The sequence below is a fragment of the Homo sapiens genome, chromosome 5, assembly GCF_000001405.40.
Source record: "Homo sapiens chromosome 5, GRCh38.p14 Primary Assembly".
NCBI classification, from domain to species: domain Eukaryota; kingdom Metazoa; phylum Chordata; class Mammalia; order Primates; family Hominidae; genus Homo; species Homo sapiens.
This window is the reverse complement of record NC_000005.10, coordinates 83,555,436-83,573,644: the sequence shown is the minus strand read 5'-3', so window position 1 is coordinate 83,573,644 and position 18,209 is coordinate 83,555,436. Positions and strand designations below refer to the sequence as shown.

The window sequence follows — 18,209 nt, the reverse complement described above, 5'->3', positions numbered from 1 at the left end:
TGTCTAAAGTGGCTTATGAAGCACGCTGTCATGTTTTTATATGTTTCTCTAATAAATCATCATTTTAAAATGTAAATAAATGTCTTTAAAATTTGTTTTTTTCCAGAATTCTATTTTTGGGATTTTAATCCTTTGAGATTTCAACATTTAGGATTATGGCATTTGGGATTGTGTCTTTCAGGATTGGGACACGGACTCACATAAAACAAAGGAAGGACTCAATGAGGACTGCAATAAATGGAGATTGCAGCCCCAACCAAGGGAGGGCAGTGGTTCTCAGCTCTAGTACTTCAAACCACCGACAAATCTGAATATGGGCCACATGGTACCAGGTCTTCTTATTTCTTAAAAAAGCTGAAAATCCAGATTTAAAAAATATAGCCTAATTTTTAACTGTTGACAACTATTTTATTTTGTAATGTTCTCATCAAAATAAAAAAAGAAGTCGGTCAGGAGCGGTGGCTCAAGCCTGTAATCCCAGCACTTTGGGAGGCTGAGGCTGGCAGATTACAAGGTCAAGAGATTGAGACCATCCTGGCTAACACGGTGAAACCCCATCTCTACTAAAAATACAAAAATTAGCTGGGTGTGATGGTGCACGCCTGTAGTCCCAGCTACTTGGGAGGCTGAGGCAGGAGAATTGCTTGAACCCAGAGGCGGAGGTTGCCGTGAGCCAAGATCACACCACTGTAGTCCAGCCTGGTGACAGAGCGAGACTCCATCTCAAAAAACAATAATAATAATAAATAAATAAATAAATAAATAAATAAATAAATAAATAAAAATAAAAAGGTCTATTGGCCTTTGGACTGGCAGTTGTTCTTCTTAAAGATATTACCAGGCAGCATTCCTACGTTAATGTCACATTGTTATCTTAAGGACCTGAAATCTAAGGTGAGAACATTGTTGAAAACAAACTTTTCAATTGTTTTGGAAGAGTGAAATATTCCAGAGCAACGAGAGATGACATACATGGACATATCCAGTTTGTGTCTCAAACAATGAATTTGAGACACAAATTCCTGAATTATCTTTATAATTGAAATGAAGATTAAGTACACATTATTAACAGGGTGATCATTACCTGTTCCTTTCTTGCACGTATAGGTGAGATGGTAATTGCAGGGAACATCATTCCACTGGCCATTCTCATGCCAAATGATTACAACACAGTCTTCTCCAGCAGAAAAGAAGCTGTCTGGCTGGTTGGGTCTCCAATTCTCGTATTGCTGTAAAAATGGAGGGAGAAGGTAACTACTTGCTAGTCAAAAAGTAACGTAAGAGCAACGACGGTATTATATCACAATCTAATTGGAATAGACTCAACAATTTCTGTTGTTTCATATAGCTGAAATTATTTTGGTGGTACAGAAAAAGACTGTTAAACTGTGAGTAGAAAATATATGTGTCTCAAAGTCTTTATTGAACGAATGTCTACTATTTGGCAATGAGATATCATGGACAAATTTTGGCCTAGTTATTCTAGATTTCTAAATATATCATCAACCTTCAATTTAGGAATTTCATCATATTATTAATTCAATAAAATTAATGGAAGTAGAACTAGAGAAAAAATAATCTCATCACTCTAATCATTGTTTTCTTCTACCTCTTATGTGCACATATAAATTTATATAATTGTGATGATACCTCAATCGAATTTTCAGCCTGTCTTGTCTTATCTGTACTACTATAAAGTAACTTTGTCTCATTTATTGTAATTGCTTTTCACCCAAATTCATCTATTTGGTTAAAAAAGTTGAGATAGTTGCAATATTTATCTTTTGTATTTATCTGACATACCTATGCTAATCATTTTATATACAACCTTTCAAAGCTAGTTTGTTTTAGATGTGATTCTTATTTGCACCATACAGTTGAGTTGTGCTTTATGATTTAATATGAAATGTTTTCTTTTTAGTAGAAACATTTATGACATTTATGCATATTGATATAAAAAATACACCTTCAAAAGTATATCTTATTACAGATTTTTTTTGTGTGTAATGTATGTTGAGATCATTGAAAAGGACTTTATGGGTTTGACATTTCTCTGCTGGTTACCTTTATATATACACGTATATATATATATCCTACTCTGAGCAATAATATACAATTGAAAATATCTTTTGCCTTCCATCATATGTGTCATTTATTTAGCATCTATAATAGATGAAGCCCTTTTCTAGGTACTTGATATGCATTGTCTCTTACAACAATGCAGCATAATAGGGAATTATTTGGACCTTAGAGATGTTATGCACCCAGAACTCTCCGGTTTAGGTTCATTTCTTTGTTACTTAAAATATTGCCTTCCTGGCAACAATAATTATGTAAAAAACATAGTCGCTGTGCCTATTCAAGAATAACAAACTTTGATAAGATGAAAATAATATTGGCCTATAAATAAGAGACCAGTTTCCTAGTCTTGAGTCCTCTTAACTAGAATGTGGTATGAGACAAGTTTGTTTGTTCAGCGCCTTTCTGGGTCAATTTGAGCATCACTTTCCCACCATGCTTTGGCTACTCTCATGCTTTATCATGTCTAGTATGACAACATTAGTGGTGACAAACTTCCAAAATATGCTAGAAATACAGATTTAGATTTATGTGACAATGGCTAATATGACTGTCTTTTCTGGGCCTACAGATCTGTTAGTCTTTCCTTGAATTAAGTTTAAAATAAGTTTATGGTTTGAGACAATGAGTTAAGTGAATTTATTTGGCAAAGAGAAAGAGAATAAAGTGTATATAAGATTTAAGGCAATTGTTTTCAATTCAGAGCATCAGTGAATGCAAAAATTAAAAAAAAAAAAAAAGGGAAGGTCCAATTACTCTACTACCTACTTACTCCCAACAGTACTATCACTATTTTTAAGTCTTTTAAAATATATGTCTGATCCATTTTACTGTATTTACCAAAGTACTATACTTAGCTATCTGCAGTGTTTTCAATACCAAATGTTTCTTCTGTGTTTTATATCTCTAATACTTGGCACAATAAAAAACTTAAAAGGTATTCTCCTACCTATGAAATTGGATTTGTATACCAATAAGCTCTAGTTTACAAACAAAAAGAGTATAATTAATATACTAGAGGATGTCTGTAATTTTTCTTCTCAGAAAAAGTGGTTTTCAAAACTTTTAAATATGGTAAAAAAAATTTAGATCTTTCATAAAATAATTTGTGAAAAGATCTAAAGTTTGAAAACCTACTTTTGTTTCAGTCTTTTAGCTTTACTTTAAAGTCCTCCTCAATCCTGCCAAAATTAAGATATGAGACAAGAGATCACTGCTATGTAAAAAAGACTGTTTGAAGAGTGATAAACTTGCAAAAAACCAAGAGACCCTTAAGGAAGTTGTTTTTTTGTCAAAATACAGCATGAAGGGTGGTTTTATTTCTCGGGGGAAAAACCTAATCCAGAAGTGAGGCAAATTTAAATCCAACTCGTAGCCTAAATGGCCCCACTGTGTTACTCTCCAAATGGCCTGGAAAAGATGCTCAAGGGACCACACTCACTGAAGTACTCCTTGACTGGTAGGTCTCCCTGCAACCAGGAACTCACATTGGCTCTGCACTGGGTTTCTAATTATTTCCCTTTTTTTTTCTTTGCTCATTTCCCTTATCATCCCTCACCCTCCACTCGCCAAGCCTCCTTTTTACATTTTTGATACTCTCCTTTAATAGATAATCAACATTTCAGAGATATGTCATGTTCTGCCTGTTGCTGATACAGAACTAAGTTGTTTGTAATGAATGAGTTAAAGTAGGATAAAAATTAAAAACCAAAGAATAAGAATCCATTAAAACTAACAAAAATCTATATTTGGTACTCTCTATGGTCAAAGATTCCAGAGTTCGCCAAATATTAAATTTGGATTTAGGAGCTCAATATTTTCTAGCTTACTTTCCAACTAGTCTCTTACAGGAAACCAGTAATGTCCTCAAAGGTGGAAAATTTTCCAACATCCTAATACTATGTGTACACTGTGCATTACTCTCTCATTTTTTGTCCCTACCTACACTGTCCCATCTCCCTTTCTTAATTTCTTTTTCTTCATAACATTTATCATATTCTACCATCCTACATAATTTACTCATTAATTGCATTTTTTTCTCCTAGTAGAATGTAAATTCATTGAGGACAGGGCTTTGGTTTCTTTTGCTCATTACTGTATCCTCAGTGCCAGAAACTATGTTTGGCACATACTTATGTTGTTTAATAAATAGTTTTTGATATTTAGAGACAATGAACCACAGAGGGTGTTTCATTCTTCCCAACCCACACCAATACCTAATCAAAGATCCTGCTTGCTGCTAGCAAATAGGTGAGACAGACAATTACAGACATAGCCAGTGGAAGTAAATAACCTTTCTGGAAAACAGGTGGCAATGCATATCAGGAGCCTCAAAAAGTTCTTGCTTTTGGACCCCAAAATTCCACTTCTAAAATTCTATACTAAAAAATAATCACAGATGTGAATGACATTTTATATGAAATACTACGTTTATTAGCAGTAAAGGGAAAACAATTTATAGAGTAAACATATGTTCAATAAATTATGATATAGCCAGACAAATAGAATATTATATCACCATTTAAAATTTTCTTTGAAGAATAAATAAAGAAATGGGGGGTAGTAAAACAAGTGTTAAATTATTACATTATAATGATCCAAATTTTACTCATACTCTCAGATACAGCTGGGTGTATGGATGTATGTGTGTGTGTTTGTGTTTGCGTGTGTGTCTGTGTATATAAAAGACCAAAAGCAAATGCAATAAAATCTTCCAGAGTTTATGTCTGAGTGATATGAGACTGAGATAATATTTTATTCTATATATTCTTACTTATGATATTTTCCAAGTTCTCTAGAGTGAGCATTATTTTTCTAATTGCTAAAAATGAACTTTATAAAATGATATGTGCATTTCTCACAAAAAATACAAATTTCTTAACTAACCCTTTTTAAATCTAATCTTAACAAATATCACCGCAAGTTACTAAAGTCACTTGACTGCCCTATATTTTGCAGCTGACACTTCCTCCTGATCTGAACAATAACCATCTCATTTTCACACTGAAATGAGATTCGGACTCCATGCCACTAAAGTGATTCTCGGGGCTCAAACTGCCCAGATTCAGGCCTCTGTTAAAAGATTTAATTGTTTTGGGTGAGAATTACATTTGGCTTGCAGCAATGACTTAAAATGAGTGTTCCTGTTGTTGCTTGGCAGAGCTGTAGTTTAATGGTGCAGTACCAAATTTTAGCTCTGTGGTTTTTACAAGAATGTCTGATACCCACAGGCATGTCACACTATTACCTCATATCTGATCATTCCATTGTGCAGATTTATCTTGGCTAGGATGCTTTGATTTTGCTTCATGTTATTGCCAAACTGACTTAGCAAAGAAAACTCCAGTTTTCTTAACAACTTCCTTTGTGTCTTTCTGAATTCTTTACAGCCTTATTTAACATTACTTGTAGGGAGAAAATATAAAAAAAAAATTAACTTTAGCTTCAATAACGTACTTTTCTTTTCACTAAAGTTAAATGTTAAGAAGAAATCCCTTCTCAGGGAATCAATTCTAAGTTATAAGAAGGTAATAGATCTTCTTGCACAATATGGTGTCTCATATATACAGGAATACAGATTCTTGGAATTAGCAGGGAAAAACTCAGTACCTCCCATTTGGATTTCTTTATTTTTCACTTTGAATTATGAGCAAACATCCTGAGCGATCTATCTTGGATCAACCCTCTTCTAGAGCTGAATGTGCAAACTAAGAATTATTCCCAGAAGCCAGCATGGGTTGGGGAAATTCATTTTAACCCCTTAGGGAAAAATAAATGCTGGTCATTCCCCTGCATGTTTGTCTGTGCCTCAGGGACTCAAGTTCATGCAACACACCTCAAACGCTTGTTGCCTCCCCAGGGACAAGAATTAGATCACTACTACACCTGAAAGAGAACCCTAAAATTACTTTGCATTTTCACTCTCTTCTGATGGCAGAGGAAATTGTGACATAAAAATCAAAGAGTTGCCGGGTGCAGTGTCTCATGCCTGTTATCCCAGCACTTTGGGAGGCTGAGGCGGGTGGATCACGAGGTCAGGAGTTCGAGACCAGCCTGGCCAACATAGTGAAACCCCGTCTCTACTAAAAATACAAAAAATTAGCCGGACGTAGTGGCAGCCACCTGTAATCCCAGCTACTCGGGAGGCTGAGGCAGGAAAATCACTTGAACCTGGGAGGTGGAGGTTGCAGTGAGCCAAGATCGCACCATTGCACTCCAGCCTAGGGGGTCAGGTGAGACTCCGTCTCAAAACAAACAAACAAACAAAAACGCAAATAGTTGATGTAGAGGAAAGCCAACTCAGATGTAAATTTTTCTTGCATTTTATTAAGAGATAATTATTTTATATCTAGTATATAACTGCTTAATGCTGGATAATATATGATAAAATTGCTTTATTTTTAGAGTCCAATTAAATAACTAGTTCTCCAGGTCTGTAATAACATGCCAAAAAGGGCTACCATTTCGATTAAGCTGGAATCAGTCACTTTTCAGTTATTGTTTTTCTTTCTTTTTCCCCTAATTGAATTCAAGCAAATCAGCTGCCAAAATAATAAAATGATTCAAAAAACCCTGGACAAAATCTAACAGCTAATAAGTATGTTTCTCTTCACAAACTAGAGAACTCATTGTGAACCATTCCTAACAGGGTGAAAACTCAGAGCAGACTGAAGCTATTCATTGAAGTCTATCGAACTCTAAATGTTTCGATTATTTTGTTCCAAATAATCTGTACTTGTCAAAAATTTATTTCTGTCTCACAATAACACAAAAGAGAAGACTCATCCTGCAGGTCTTCTGCAGTGCACATGACTTCTGTGCATGCCAGCATCCTTAACCCTCAGAGAGTGACCTCAATTCCATGTATCTCAGAGTGATTTGACTATTTTTCTCACTCAGAATGGTTGGAGAGCTATTTCTCTCCTTCCCAGTTCTTTGCAAAGTCTCCAACTTAATTCAGTCAACATACCAGGAAAAAAAAAGATGATGGTGGGTGGGGAGAGGTCTCTGCTTTTGAAAGTTACCAACAATCTACCAAATTCAGATGGGGTTTACACTGTTCAAGGTGAATTTCTGATTACATAGTGTCTAGGAAATCCCAACTGTCATTCAGAGATATCTTTTATCATTTAAAACACACACCAGGTGGCCATGATCAATGACCTAAAATCTCAGCAGATAACTAGCATCACAAGCATGAACAAAACAAACTGATGATAAAAATGTAATGTACACTAATAGCCCTTTTCCTTATGCAGTGATGGATAACTGCCTTTTTGCAAAGGTTAAAAAAGCAGTTTTTCAGGGCCAGGTGTGGTGGCTCACGACTACAATCCCAGCATTTTGGGAGGCTGAGGCAGTTGGATCACCTGAGGTCGGGAGTTCAAGACCAGCCTGGCCAACATGGTGATGAAATCCTGTCTCTACTAAAAATAAAAAAAATTGGCCAGGCATGGTGGCAGGCACCTGTAATTCCTCGGAAGGCTGAGGCAGGAGAATCACTTAACCCGGGAGGCGGAGGTTGCAGTGAGCAAAGATCACGCCATTGCACTCCAGCCTGGGCAACAAGAGTGAGACACCGTCTCAAAAAAAAAAGAAAAAAAAAAGCAGTTTTTCAGAAATAGATAAGACTTAGAAATAAACCAGGAGGTTTTTTTTTCCTTGTGTTAAAAAATGAGTTTTCTTGGGTTCATCTTTAGTACTACTTTCAGTTGAAGAAAGGAAACCAGACCATCCAGTATCAGTTACTGCTGTCACAGTCAAGTCCCAGCTGATCCCTGCACATCACATACAGAAGCAAATTCATCTATGAGCAAAAGACTAAGAAGTTTTAAGAGCAATCGTTCTTATCAAAACCTAATCAATAACTAGGGTTTCTTTATAATACTCAACCCATTTCAAGTCATTTTCACTGAGATTCTCTAACTTGGTCAAATAACTACAAAGAATAATCAATGAGCACTGGTTCTCTAGAAGAGTCAGACACTGTTTAGAATCTTTCTATTTCTTTTCCTCTCTACTGGCTTCTAAATCATACAATATAAATAAAAAGAGACAGAATTTTCATAGACACTAGACAAAATTCAAGTTCATATTTTTGTGAGTCATAAATTTGAGACTCTGTCTCTCTCTCACACATACACACACACACACACACACACACACACACACACACCCTTACACATACAATACTTCTTGGCATTAAAGAAGTGCCTAAGACCTAAGACTTGGTAATGCTTCCATTCATACACATCTGTGTAGCAGATAATTTCCTGCCATAAATACAGTAGAGAACAAACAAAATGGTCAGCAGAGTAGACAGCAACCTACTTCTTGTGATGGGAAAACTGAGCTGTCCAATACACAGACTTGAGAGCTCACTGAGAGTTTTTACACACTAGCCAGTCATTGGGTACAGTTCAAATTTGTGCCTGAGCAAAAAGTACAAATGTTTTCATACTGCAGACCTTCAGGATCTCATGTATAACTGGGGCGGCAAATCTTGAATCTGTAACTGCCAAGGGCCTACTTTCCAACTCTCTCTCTCTATCTATCCATATATTATCTATAATTTTTCAGCTTAGGTGCAGTCACCTTTTGTTTTTTAAAATTCGCCATAGTTTAGATTACCTTAAATGGCCAATTAAAGATGATGTTTTATAGATTTTATGAATTTTGCCAAGCACATCCCTTTGAGAAAAACCATTCTTGACATGTGTGTAGTCAAGCCATTCACAATACATTATTTTAATTGTTGGGAGAACTTACTGAACTTCAAACTATAATTTGGGAGTTTTTCTCTTGAACGGTTCAGTCACTGCTCTTCACTTACTCTGTTTTCCTCCAAACATTGCTAATTTAGTTCACAGTGAAAAAAAAAAAAACATCTAAAAAACCCTGCAAAAGCCCTCTCTGTTCACCTCCCAAGGAAACTAGCCAAAGAAAACTTTCTCCAGCGTTCTACTATTGTGTATAAAGTGAAAACACAGGACAGATAGGTCCTAATATTTGCCTTAGTTGCTAGGATTTTACTAAGTATTTGACTACATGTGTTAGCTTCATGCTGCATTTGAAAAATCCTCTCATTTCACATTTAACTTTCAGGATCACAGTATCATGCAATTTATACTAGAATTAAGAAACTATTCAAAACTACAGGAACTTGATTTACAGATAGTATTATTCTTGTGTGTATCTGGGTGTAGTTCTGTGAATGTGGTTTTGAAACACAAAATACAATACGACCACTAGGTGGTGATATATATCCATTCTTACATTATGAATTAACGGCTACACCACTTAACAAAAGAGAACTTGGAATATGTCCCCCAAAATCGTAATTATGTACTCCATGTGGCAAAAATAAAAAAATAAAAATAAAAAATAAAAGATTGTCTGGGATATGTTCTCTCAGTTTTGTGAGTGAAAACACAAAGAGAACACTTTGCAAGAAGACAGACCTCGGTGAACCAGTATTTACCAACCTGACTGCATTCTATTCTGTTGCAAGCCATTCTATCCATAATCTGAATTTTCTTTCTGTCTAAAATGTTCACCTACGGTAGTTTCTTCTTTTCCACTCTGTCTTTTAAAATTATCCGATGATTTACATCAATGGTGAAATTGCATCAGAACCAAAGCCAAATGTGCAACATCCACCTAAAATCCTTAGGAGAGGTCAGATCATAGATAAACACCTAAGCACACAAATGCAATGTCTGCAGCGTGAGTCACAGTTAGTTTGTTTTTCCGTAAAAATTTATCTAGATTAGCTATGAAAACATGACACCTGCAGTAAGAGCTGACTTCTTTGTGCGCAAACTCTTTTCATCACCTGGGGCCCATATTGCCACTGCTGTACTCCCAGAGCTACAAAATTCAATCCAAACGCACTGGATACCAAGGGCAAGCAGATAACCACCGAAGTAGGAAAGCAAATTCCAAACAGAAAACACTTTCCCAAGAGGACAGGTACCTGTTTGAAACATATGCCGATAAGAAACCATCTTTTCACTAAATAACAAACAGAATAACCACTTGGGGTTAGCCTCAGCCTTTCAGAACACAGGTCAAATGGTTATCTGAAAAGAGGCTATGAGGACTACTTATTACAGAAATCAAAACATTTGGTACCTTTAAAATGACTTTTTTATCCCTAGATGGCTGGTGTACACAATAGGCATTTGTTTGCAGTCTGGAGGGGGAGTGGTGCATTTAACTTTGTCTTGTTTGTTAGGGGCAAATGACTTCCCTGCAAGGTAAAGATAAACCTTCTTCTGATCCTTGTACTTGCTTAAGGTTAGTCTAGTCTGGGTCCTTCTTTATTTATGTTTTAAGGGAGGTTATGGTTTTGCTGCTGTCTTTTAGTTGAACAGGGTAATTCGTTGACCGACAACTGAAAAGAAAAGAGCAGCTTTGTTTTAAAGGAGAAAGAGACGTTTGTTTTGGTGTCACTACCCTATGCTGGCAGCCTGGAGTTGGATCCTACAAACATGAATATGCTGAAGGGAAGAAAAACTAACTTGGGGTCTCCTGATAGTTGTTAAAGTGGCAATATGCCCATTATTTTCCTAGCTGGCAAACCTCTGTGCGGGAAAGACAATCTGGCCAGCTCTTGAGAACAGCACTAATCTTGTGTAATAGTGTGAGCTCACTGCCCTACAAAGCAGCAATTATCAACAGCATTTTCAGAAGGATGTGAGTTACTCGCACTGTGAGACCACTGTGAGAGAGGGGGCCTCAGGCAGAGGCCCAGAGAGCAACTTGCATTTAATCCATAGAATGAATGGTGCCAGTAGGCTCCTTTACCCCAAGCTTATTTGCACAGGTCTCCAGTCATGAAGGGCTGACGATCCAAATGTAAGGAGAGACTGCCAAAGCTCATTCAATATATTTTTTTTTTTTGGCCTTTTCCATGGTTATGCATTGCCTTAAACTAATTAGCAATTAGATTTAAATATCTGCATGAGATTTTAAAGTTGCACAGAAGACTGTTGGAAAAGCATCTGTGAGATGCTACTGCACTAAATCTCCTTTTCTTATTCTTTATAATAATCTTGTCAATTATAAAATGATTTTCCAGTAGTGAGTAAATATGGTTCTTCCAGCTGTTCAACCCACCACTAGCTATCTGAACTGAAAGACAAGGCAGAGAGCAGAGTTGCGTTCTAGAACTACTCTATGACTCATAATATCTCACATTTAGAATCAGAAGAATCAGTTCTTGATTCCAAATCAAATTAAACTACAACACAAGTCAAAATTTTCATTAAGAACTCAGTAGTCTTTCACAGAAGGGAATCTGAGAATTCTTCCACTCATGAGTAATGTGTTAAAGAATGAGAAAAGAGCATGTTTTCCTTGGCTTTTGGATTAATACAATAAAGCCTGTGAAGTTTAACATAATTAAATTAATGTTGATATGCAGTGTGACTTGTTCACAGAGAAATGGTATTTGACTTAGAGCTAATGCCACATCACAGCTGACATACATCCATCTGCAAATGTTGTATAGAAAGTCTTCTAAGATCTTCAGGTAGGAAAAGGAAAACTTAAATTTTTGTTGTGGGGATTGTGTTTTGCATTGTTTTTCTGTCAAATCATGTGAAATCCTTTCAAATGAGCAGAAATCTACAACAAGCTTAGAAAGCACTGGAATTAATGAATACTCCGTATTCTCTTTTCAATGTCCAAGACATCTGGGAGAGGAAGGGGAATAAGAACCTTTGTGTTTATGAAAGGGTAATAATGATACATTGCTGCAGAAAAACAATAATGGTTTATGGTCCGTGATTTGTTACTCCATTTTTTCTGCCCCTTTTAAGTGTCTCTTCCTGGGTAAGGGCTATTTCTTTATTGTTTCTACCTTTTTCAAAGCTGGCTTTTCTCACAATACTTTGCTTGACAGACTGATGTGTTTATTTATGAAAGAAGAAGAAGGAGCCTCTGGATTTAAAGTCAAATCCACACATCTGGACATTCTTGTGCATCAACTCGAATCAACTGGTGAAGGGGGACAAGTGGGTGTTGGAAATTGTAGGTATTAAGTTGCCAAAGCTGAACTATGCTTACCAAAATGAAAAACAAAATGCAAAATTGAGTTATCTTCCAGAAATATTTTTAAGAAGAATTTAAGTAATGAAGGTTAATTGTACAATTAATTGTACTAATTGTCCTATCAATTAGTTTTTTTTTTAGTTTATATCACAACTATCATAGCAAGATGAGTTGGTTAGAGCTAGAAAATAAGATATTTATGAATCTGTGATTTAGTAACTTGTTCTAGAACTTCCTGACCAGATTTGGACAAATGTAGAAGAGAGAAAGTCTCTCTGTTTTCTCCCAACTGTAGAATGGAAAGTGAGAAGAAGGAAGCTGTGATAATTTCCCAGGAAGCAGGGAAGCCAGCAGCCTCACGGGGTGTGACATTTGAGTCCTGACAATGTAGAGATGACAGAAGTAAAAAAAGTGAAGGAGATGCAGAAAATGTTTTTTAAAATGTTTAGGAATAAAGTCAGGGCTTTTTCTGCAGAACAAACTAAATATTCCAAAAACTCCCCAATATTTTAAAAATGGAATGGCAATGTCAGTTTTATTCAGTCCTCGGCCTCTATACATGGCCATCTAAAGTGATGGTTCCCTTTGAAGTAAATGCGTCTGATCCACTGAAGACACCAGTGTCCAGTGGGGAAGGGTCAGCTTTGATGGTGCTGGGGGGAATCATTGAAGAAAGGAACAATGTGGAGCCCAGAGAATCGCCTCGTGAGAATCTTACTCCAGAGGGTCCAAGAGAGAAGGAAGCAATATGACAGCTTTAAATCTCTGAGCTCCACAATTTGATTTTAAACCACTTGTTGGAGAGGTTTGTCAGACAGAACAGTATGATGAAAGCATGTAAGAGTTTCTGATAGCTCCTTAATTGGGCTGTCCCATAGACACTATAGTCTTTAGTTGAAAACAGTGTTGTGAAAATCATTTTGCCAGGAGGTATACTGACAGATAAATATAAATGATTCCATAACGTTCCCTGCCTGTCTGGCTTCCTCTGCACTTGAATAAACAGCCTCAGATAGTGGATTTACAAATGAAGCCCTATCCCACCTTATGCAACCAAATCACCCTTAGCCAAAGCATCTATAAAAAGTAAAATGAGCTGATAATATTTGGGAGTGATATTTCCTTTTGTTTGTTTCACTCCATTTTGGATATAAATAATAAGGTTTCTAAAACTCATTTTTCTTCAGAAAGTATACCTACGGAATATGTGCCTATCTGGAAAAAAAAATCCTCCTCCAAAGTTTTGAGTAATTGTTGGTTTCTTAAAGTTTCATGGAAAACCTGCCCTGATATAACTCAAACCTGCAGGGGTGGCAGAGGTTGAAAGTTTACTTTCCATTTTTAATTCCCAAAGTTTATTGCAAAGGTGTTTCTAGGACAACCATGGACAAAATTGTCATCATTTCTAGTAAAAACACTTGTTTTCCTTTGGGTTGATACATTTATAAGATGCAGTATGTTCAACTATATACTTCTATTTTTAAGGAATATCTTTTTTTTTTTTTGGTCTTTTCACCGTAAAACCCATCTATTATGTTTTGATGTTTTTCATACTGGTACAACTTTAAATAAAATCTTTAATTTAGGCAAAAAATGTCACAAAGAGATTCAGCTGAAAGACATAATGTGTTCATTTCAGGATTCAAAAGATAGAGTTGGCTGAGCAATGTGTGTATACTGATGATCATTTGTTCATTCAAATATTTATTAAATACCTGTTCTATGTCAACTACTCTGCTAGTTGCTGAAAAAACAGAGACGAAAGTTAATTCCTATCTCAGAAGACTCAGTGTCAGGAAGTTGATTTCACAGGAGCCTGAGTTAGGATGGGTGGAGGACAAAAAAGATGTGGGAGCACAGAAGAGGAGCTCTTAGTCATTCCCAGCAAGGAAGGCTTCCTGGAAGGAGACCCTTGGCTATGCAGGGTATTTGACTGTTTGTGAGATGAAATGAGGATAAGACGTGAGAATATGCTAAACACTAGGGCCAGTACAGGCAAAGCCGCCCAGGAGTGAGAACCCATGGCTTATTCCAGGAGCTGAGAGTATTTTGAGATGCTATAGCTCAGGAAGTGGCAGACGGAGTGGATTGGTTTTGTCTGCCATACTAATAATTAACATTTTATACTGAAGGCAATGAGCAGACACTGAAGAATTTTAAGGGAGCGACAAGAGTTCATAGCCAGGGAAGGGAAAGGTCATTAGCACTGGAAAACAGATCTGAAAGAAAACACTCTGACTAGTCATTCATTTAACAGTTGGTTTAAGAAAGAACTTTAAAGTCAGCTAACAGTATATAAGCTAGATAAGAAAAGTTTGTTTAAGTTTGCCAGCTTTAATGTATATTTAACTTGGATGGTTTAACTGAGTGTCTTTGAAGATATTACTTGGGTGACAAGCAAAGCAATTCATTAGTGAAGTTATTTGTTAGGGTTTCCAATAAAGCAGTAGGCACATTTTGCTATAGAGAACAATCGTCAAGTTAACAATAGTCAAGTTAAAGAATAACTAGGTTAGGAGAAAGCCAAGTGACAAAGTAAAAACTGAAATGTATTAAAAGAAATAATCTTAATATAAATCACAAGGGTAAGGCTAGGCACAATTTTATTCATGAATTCACTTTTGTGAAATTTATTGGGCAAACACCCCAAATAAAAAAAGTAATAGATTTTAAAAATATAACAGAAATGAGAATTTGGCATTTCATCAATGATAACAACATCCTATTATAGAGGCCAGTAATGTGGAATGAATCCATCAGAATCTCAAGAATAAGGGCAATTTAGATAACTTAGCCAAATAACATCATTAATTTAGTATACTAGTTGAATTAGTCTAGCTGTATAGCATAACATTAAATATGATACATTTATACTGTAAGTTTATTGAAAGCAAAGTTTAATTATTTGAGTAAAATGGATCATTGAAATTGAGACCTAATATAAACTTGTTTCTTCTTACTGGATTGTAAGGCTAAATATCAAAAGACACTTTAAGGTAAATATGAAAGGTTCTTTTTGTTTTAATACTGTTCTACCACCCAAGACGGAGAAGCTCTAATAAATCTTTCAAAGAAAAAAATGGAGATAGAGAGGGTGTGGAAGAGGAGAGAAATCACTCCAAAACATAAACAAAGTCCTTAAAACTGCACACAGTCAAGTTAACACCATTCCAAGTATAAGCAGATACTGATCCCCCTGACCAAGACTTTACTGTTAGGGATATTTTCAAAAGCAAAAACCTTGGAGTAAACAGCGAAACAAAGCAGAAGGATTTTATTCAAAGGCCTGCACACATATGGAACCCGTTAAGGGGATGGTGACTGTAGAAAAAACTACAAACGAGTTTAAGGGACACCTAGGCTGTTTCAGAGAGGAAAAGGATAGAGGAAAGGGTGGTTACAAAAGCAAGAAAGTGGGCAGGAGATCAGTTGAATGCGAGGGAGACCGGCTCTAAGACAGATGGTCTGTTCTGTTCCAGTATTTTCAAAGTTAAGGGACATTCCTTAGCACACTTTTATTTTACACAGAGAGTGAATTAAGAAGAAACCGAGGGTCTGTCAGAGTTTTTTCTGGATTTACTTGTGTCATTTCTTTGATAAACTTTGCTTGTTAATACATTTCATCATGTGTCTTCTTCAAACTGAGGCCCTCAGTGCATTCTCCATAATCCTTACGTTTCAAGTGAAAGTGCCAACTAATTAAGAGTAGGGTTCTTGTTTATGTTGTACAGTTATCTATGTTAGCTTATGTTATCTTCCTCTGGAAGTTTCAGAGCAAAATTTCAGAGGGAAATCAATATTTCTTTTTTGACAAGGTGCGATGCTCACTAATTTACCACGTTTAGGACCTTTCTAGACTATGGAAATAGTCACTGTTATGTTTTTCAGAGTATTTGTGTACCTACATTAAAAATTAATGGACACAGACAAAAACTAGTTGAGTTGCCTTGCTTTGGCATAGGGGAATAATGACATATGATGAATCAAGCTCACCTGTATGGCACTTGGCAGGGAAGATAATTTTCCTAAGATACTCTACAGAATCCACATAGCTGCCAGATATAGGCCAATATGAAGTCTCTTTAACCAAGCACACAGGAATAAAGGATAACACTTTATTTCAGACACCACGAGAAATAAAAAGCAGGGGAAAGAATTACTTCTTTGAAGAGGTGAACTGCTAAGGGAGAGACCAGAATAAACATCTAGTAACACACATACATGCTAAGAATAAAAACACACACATCAAATCTATGTAACCAATGACAGATTAGAAATAGATGGGACTTGGTTCAGTCAGGTAAGTGTGTAGGAAAAAAAGATTTTTCGTACACTCCACCTGGCCAAATGCAGCTATTCTAGGCTCAGGGCTGGAATCTACAGGAACCCAGACAACAGGTACACTTTGGGATAAGTCATGGGCTGCATCTGCCAGGCACAAATAAGCAGTAACTAGATAGAAATGGCCAGCTGAGTCCTGGGCATGCCAGCTTCTGTATACATGATGGGGGCTCACAAAACCCTGCACTTTTCACTGGGCTATAAATAAGGGAAATTCGTGGGAGGTAGACTTAATAGTGGGCACCCTAAAACCCAATGTATTCCATGAGAATGAAGTACACATTTAACAAGGAAAACTCATTAAATGCATTCACTGTATGATATACATTAATAAAATTATAAAAACAGCTTATAATATATAGAAACAATCTCTGAATCATATGTTCACTTAGAAATTAAATTAATAGGATCAAAATTATCTTCAATTAAAATTAATGTAATATAAAGATTCATGCTATACCAATCGCTATTAATCTAATAGGCCAGTATTATCCCCCTAAGTACAGCAAAATGAAAACATAAAGAGGCAACAATTGCAGATACAGATCCAATACATCCAGCCAGGACAATTATTAATAGAAGAAGATGAGCCTATTGATTCTAAGGTTGTGTTTCCTATTGCTTACTGGGAACATATTTTAAGAACAACCTATTTTTCCCTATTTTTCTCACATCTTGCCAAATAACCTACTTAAGAACTTGAATGACAAACAGTGAAACAGTGCTGATTAAACATAAACAGTGGTGACAGAGAGAGAAACTCAGGTCTTATTTTGGGTTGCTCAAAGCGAAAATGTAACAAGGGATACACTCTTTTTAAAGCCGAGGAGGTACCGGTCAGAAGAAACTGTGGCTTTGGAGACAAGCCTAAGTTCAAATTCTGGCTTCATCAGTTAACAGCTTTGTGATTCCAGGCAAATAGCTCAACCTAACTGACCTTCCCTTTCTTTACCTGTAAAACAGGTGAAGGAAAACCCATTGCCTCTCTTAAAAGTTATTGTGGGGAATAAACATAAGCAAGTGCTTAATACAGTGGCTGGCACATAGATAAAGTGAGTAGTGTGTCCATGATGGAGCAGCTTCTCTTAAGACAGAGCAGAACTTCCAAAAGCAGAGATTACTTTGACATCTGTTTTTGAATGAATTTTATATTTTGCCAAACTCATTGAATCCAAACAAGTGGCAGATAATGAATGAAACTGAATACCTAAGTAATAAAAACACAAAAAGGCCTTTAAAATTATCTTCAATATTTTACACTTTGTTTCTAATTTAGAATTTAATTTACACTTACTATCTAGCCCAGTGGATCCCAACTTTGCGTTTAAGAATTACCTGTGGAACACTGAGAAAATACAGCGGCTAGAGGTTTTGCTGTAATGGACCTGGGATAAGGCCTAAGCACCAGTTTTTAATTACATATTCCAGGTGATTCTAATGAACAGCCAGCACTGAGTACCACTAGTATAGACAATCATATTTGAACTCTTTATAAAAATTAGATTTATTTGAGTTTAGTAAGAGTGACTCAAAACAGCTTCACCTGTTCTAAGAACCTATTACAGTCTACTCAAAGTTGTGGCCAGCATTTCCAAGTCACTTCTTTCTTCAAAAAATAGAAAACAAGTTGAAATATGTAATTAGTTGGCAGAAATTCACAAGATCATATCAACAGTCTTCTTTAAGATAAAAATAAATGGATATTTTTGCTTGGAAATGAGTCATGCCTTATA

The 18,209-nt window shown here is 36.1% G+C and overlaps 1 protein-coding gene and 2 long non-coding RNA genes across 6 annotated transcripts in view; 1 reads left to right on the top strand and 2 right to left on the bottom strand.

Moving 5' to 3' along the window:
- VCAN (versican) overlaps positions 1-18,209 on the bottom strand; it is a 110,559-nt gene that overhangs the window by 8,658 nt on the left and 83,692 nt on the right. For all 4 annotated transcript variants that reach the window (NM_004385.5, NM_001164098.2, NM_001164097.2 and 1 more), the window contains one exon: positions 1,085-1,229. In NM_004385.5, coding sequence (NP_004376.2) covers positions 1,085-1,229 — 145 coding nt within the window. The remainder of the gene's footprint in view (positions 1-1,084; positions 1,230-18,209) is intronic.
- Positions 4,490-11,430, bottom strand: LOC124901021 (uncharacterized). The gene is made up of 2 exons (XR_007058847.1): positions 10,213-11,430; positions 4,490-5,483 (listed from the first exon to the last, which is right to left on the bottom strand). It is a non-coding gene; the product is annotated as an uncharacterized LOC124901021 (long non-coding RNA).
- VCAN-AS1 (VCAN antisense RNA 1) overlaps positions 11,331-18,209 on the top strand; it is a 30,963-nt gene continuing 24,084 nt past the window's right edge. Inside the window, exon 1 of the long non-coding RNA NR_136215.1 lies at positions 11,331-11,614. This is a non-coding gene — a long non-coding RNA (VCAN antisense RNA 1). The remainder of the gene's footprint in view (positions 11,615-18,209) is intronic.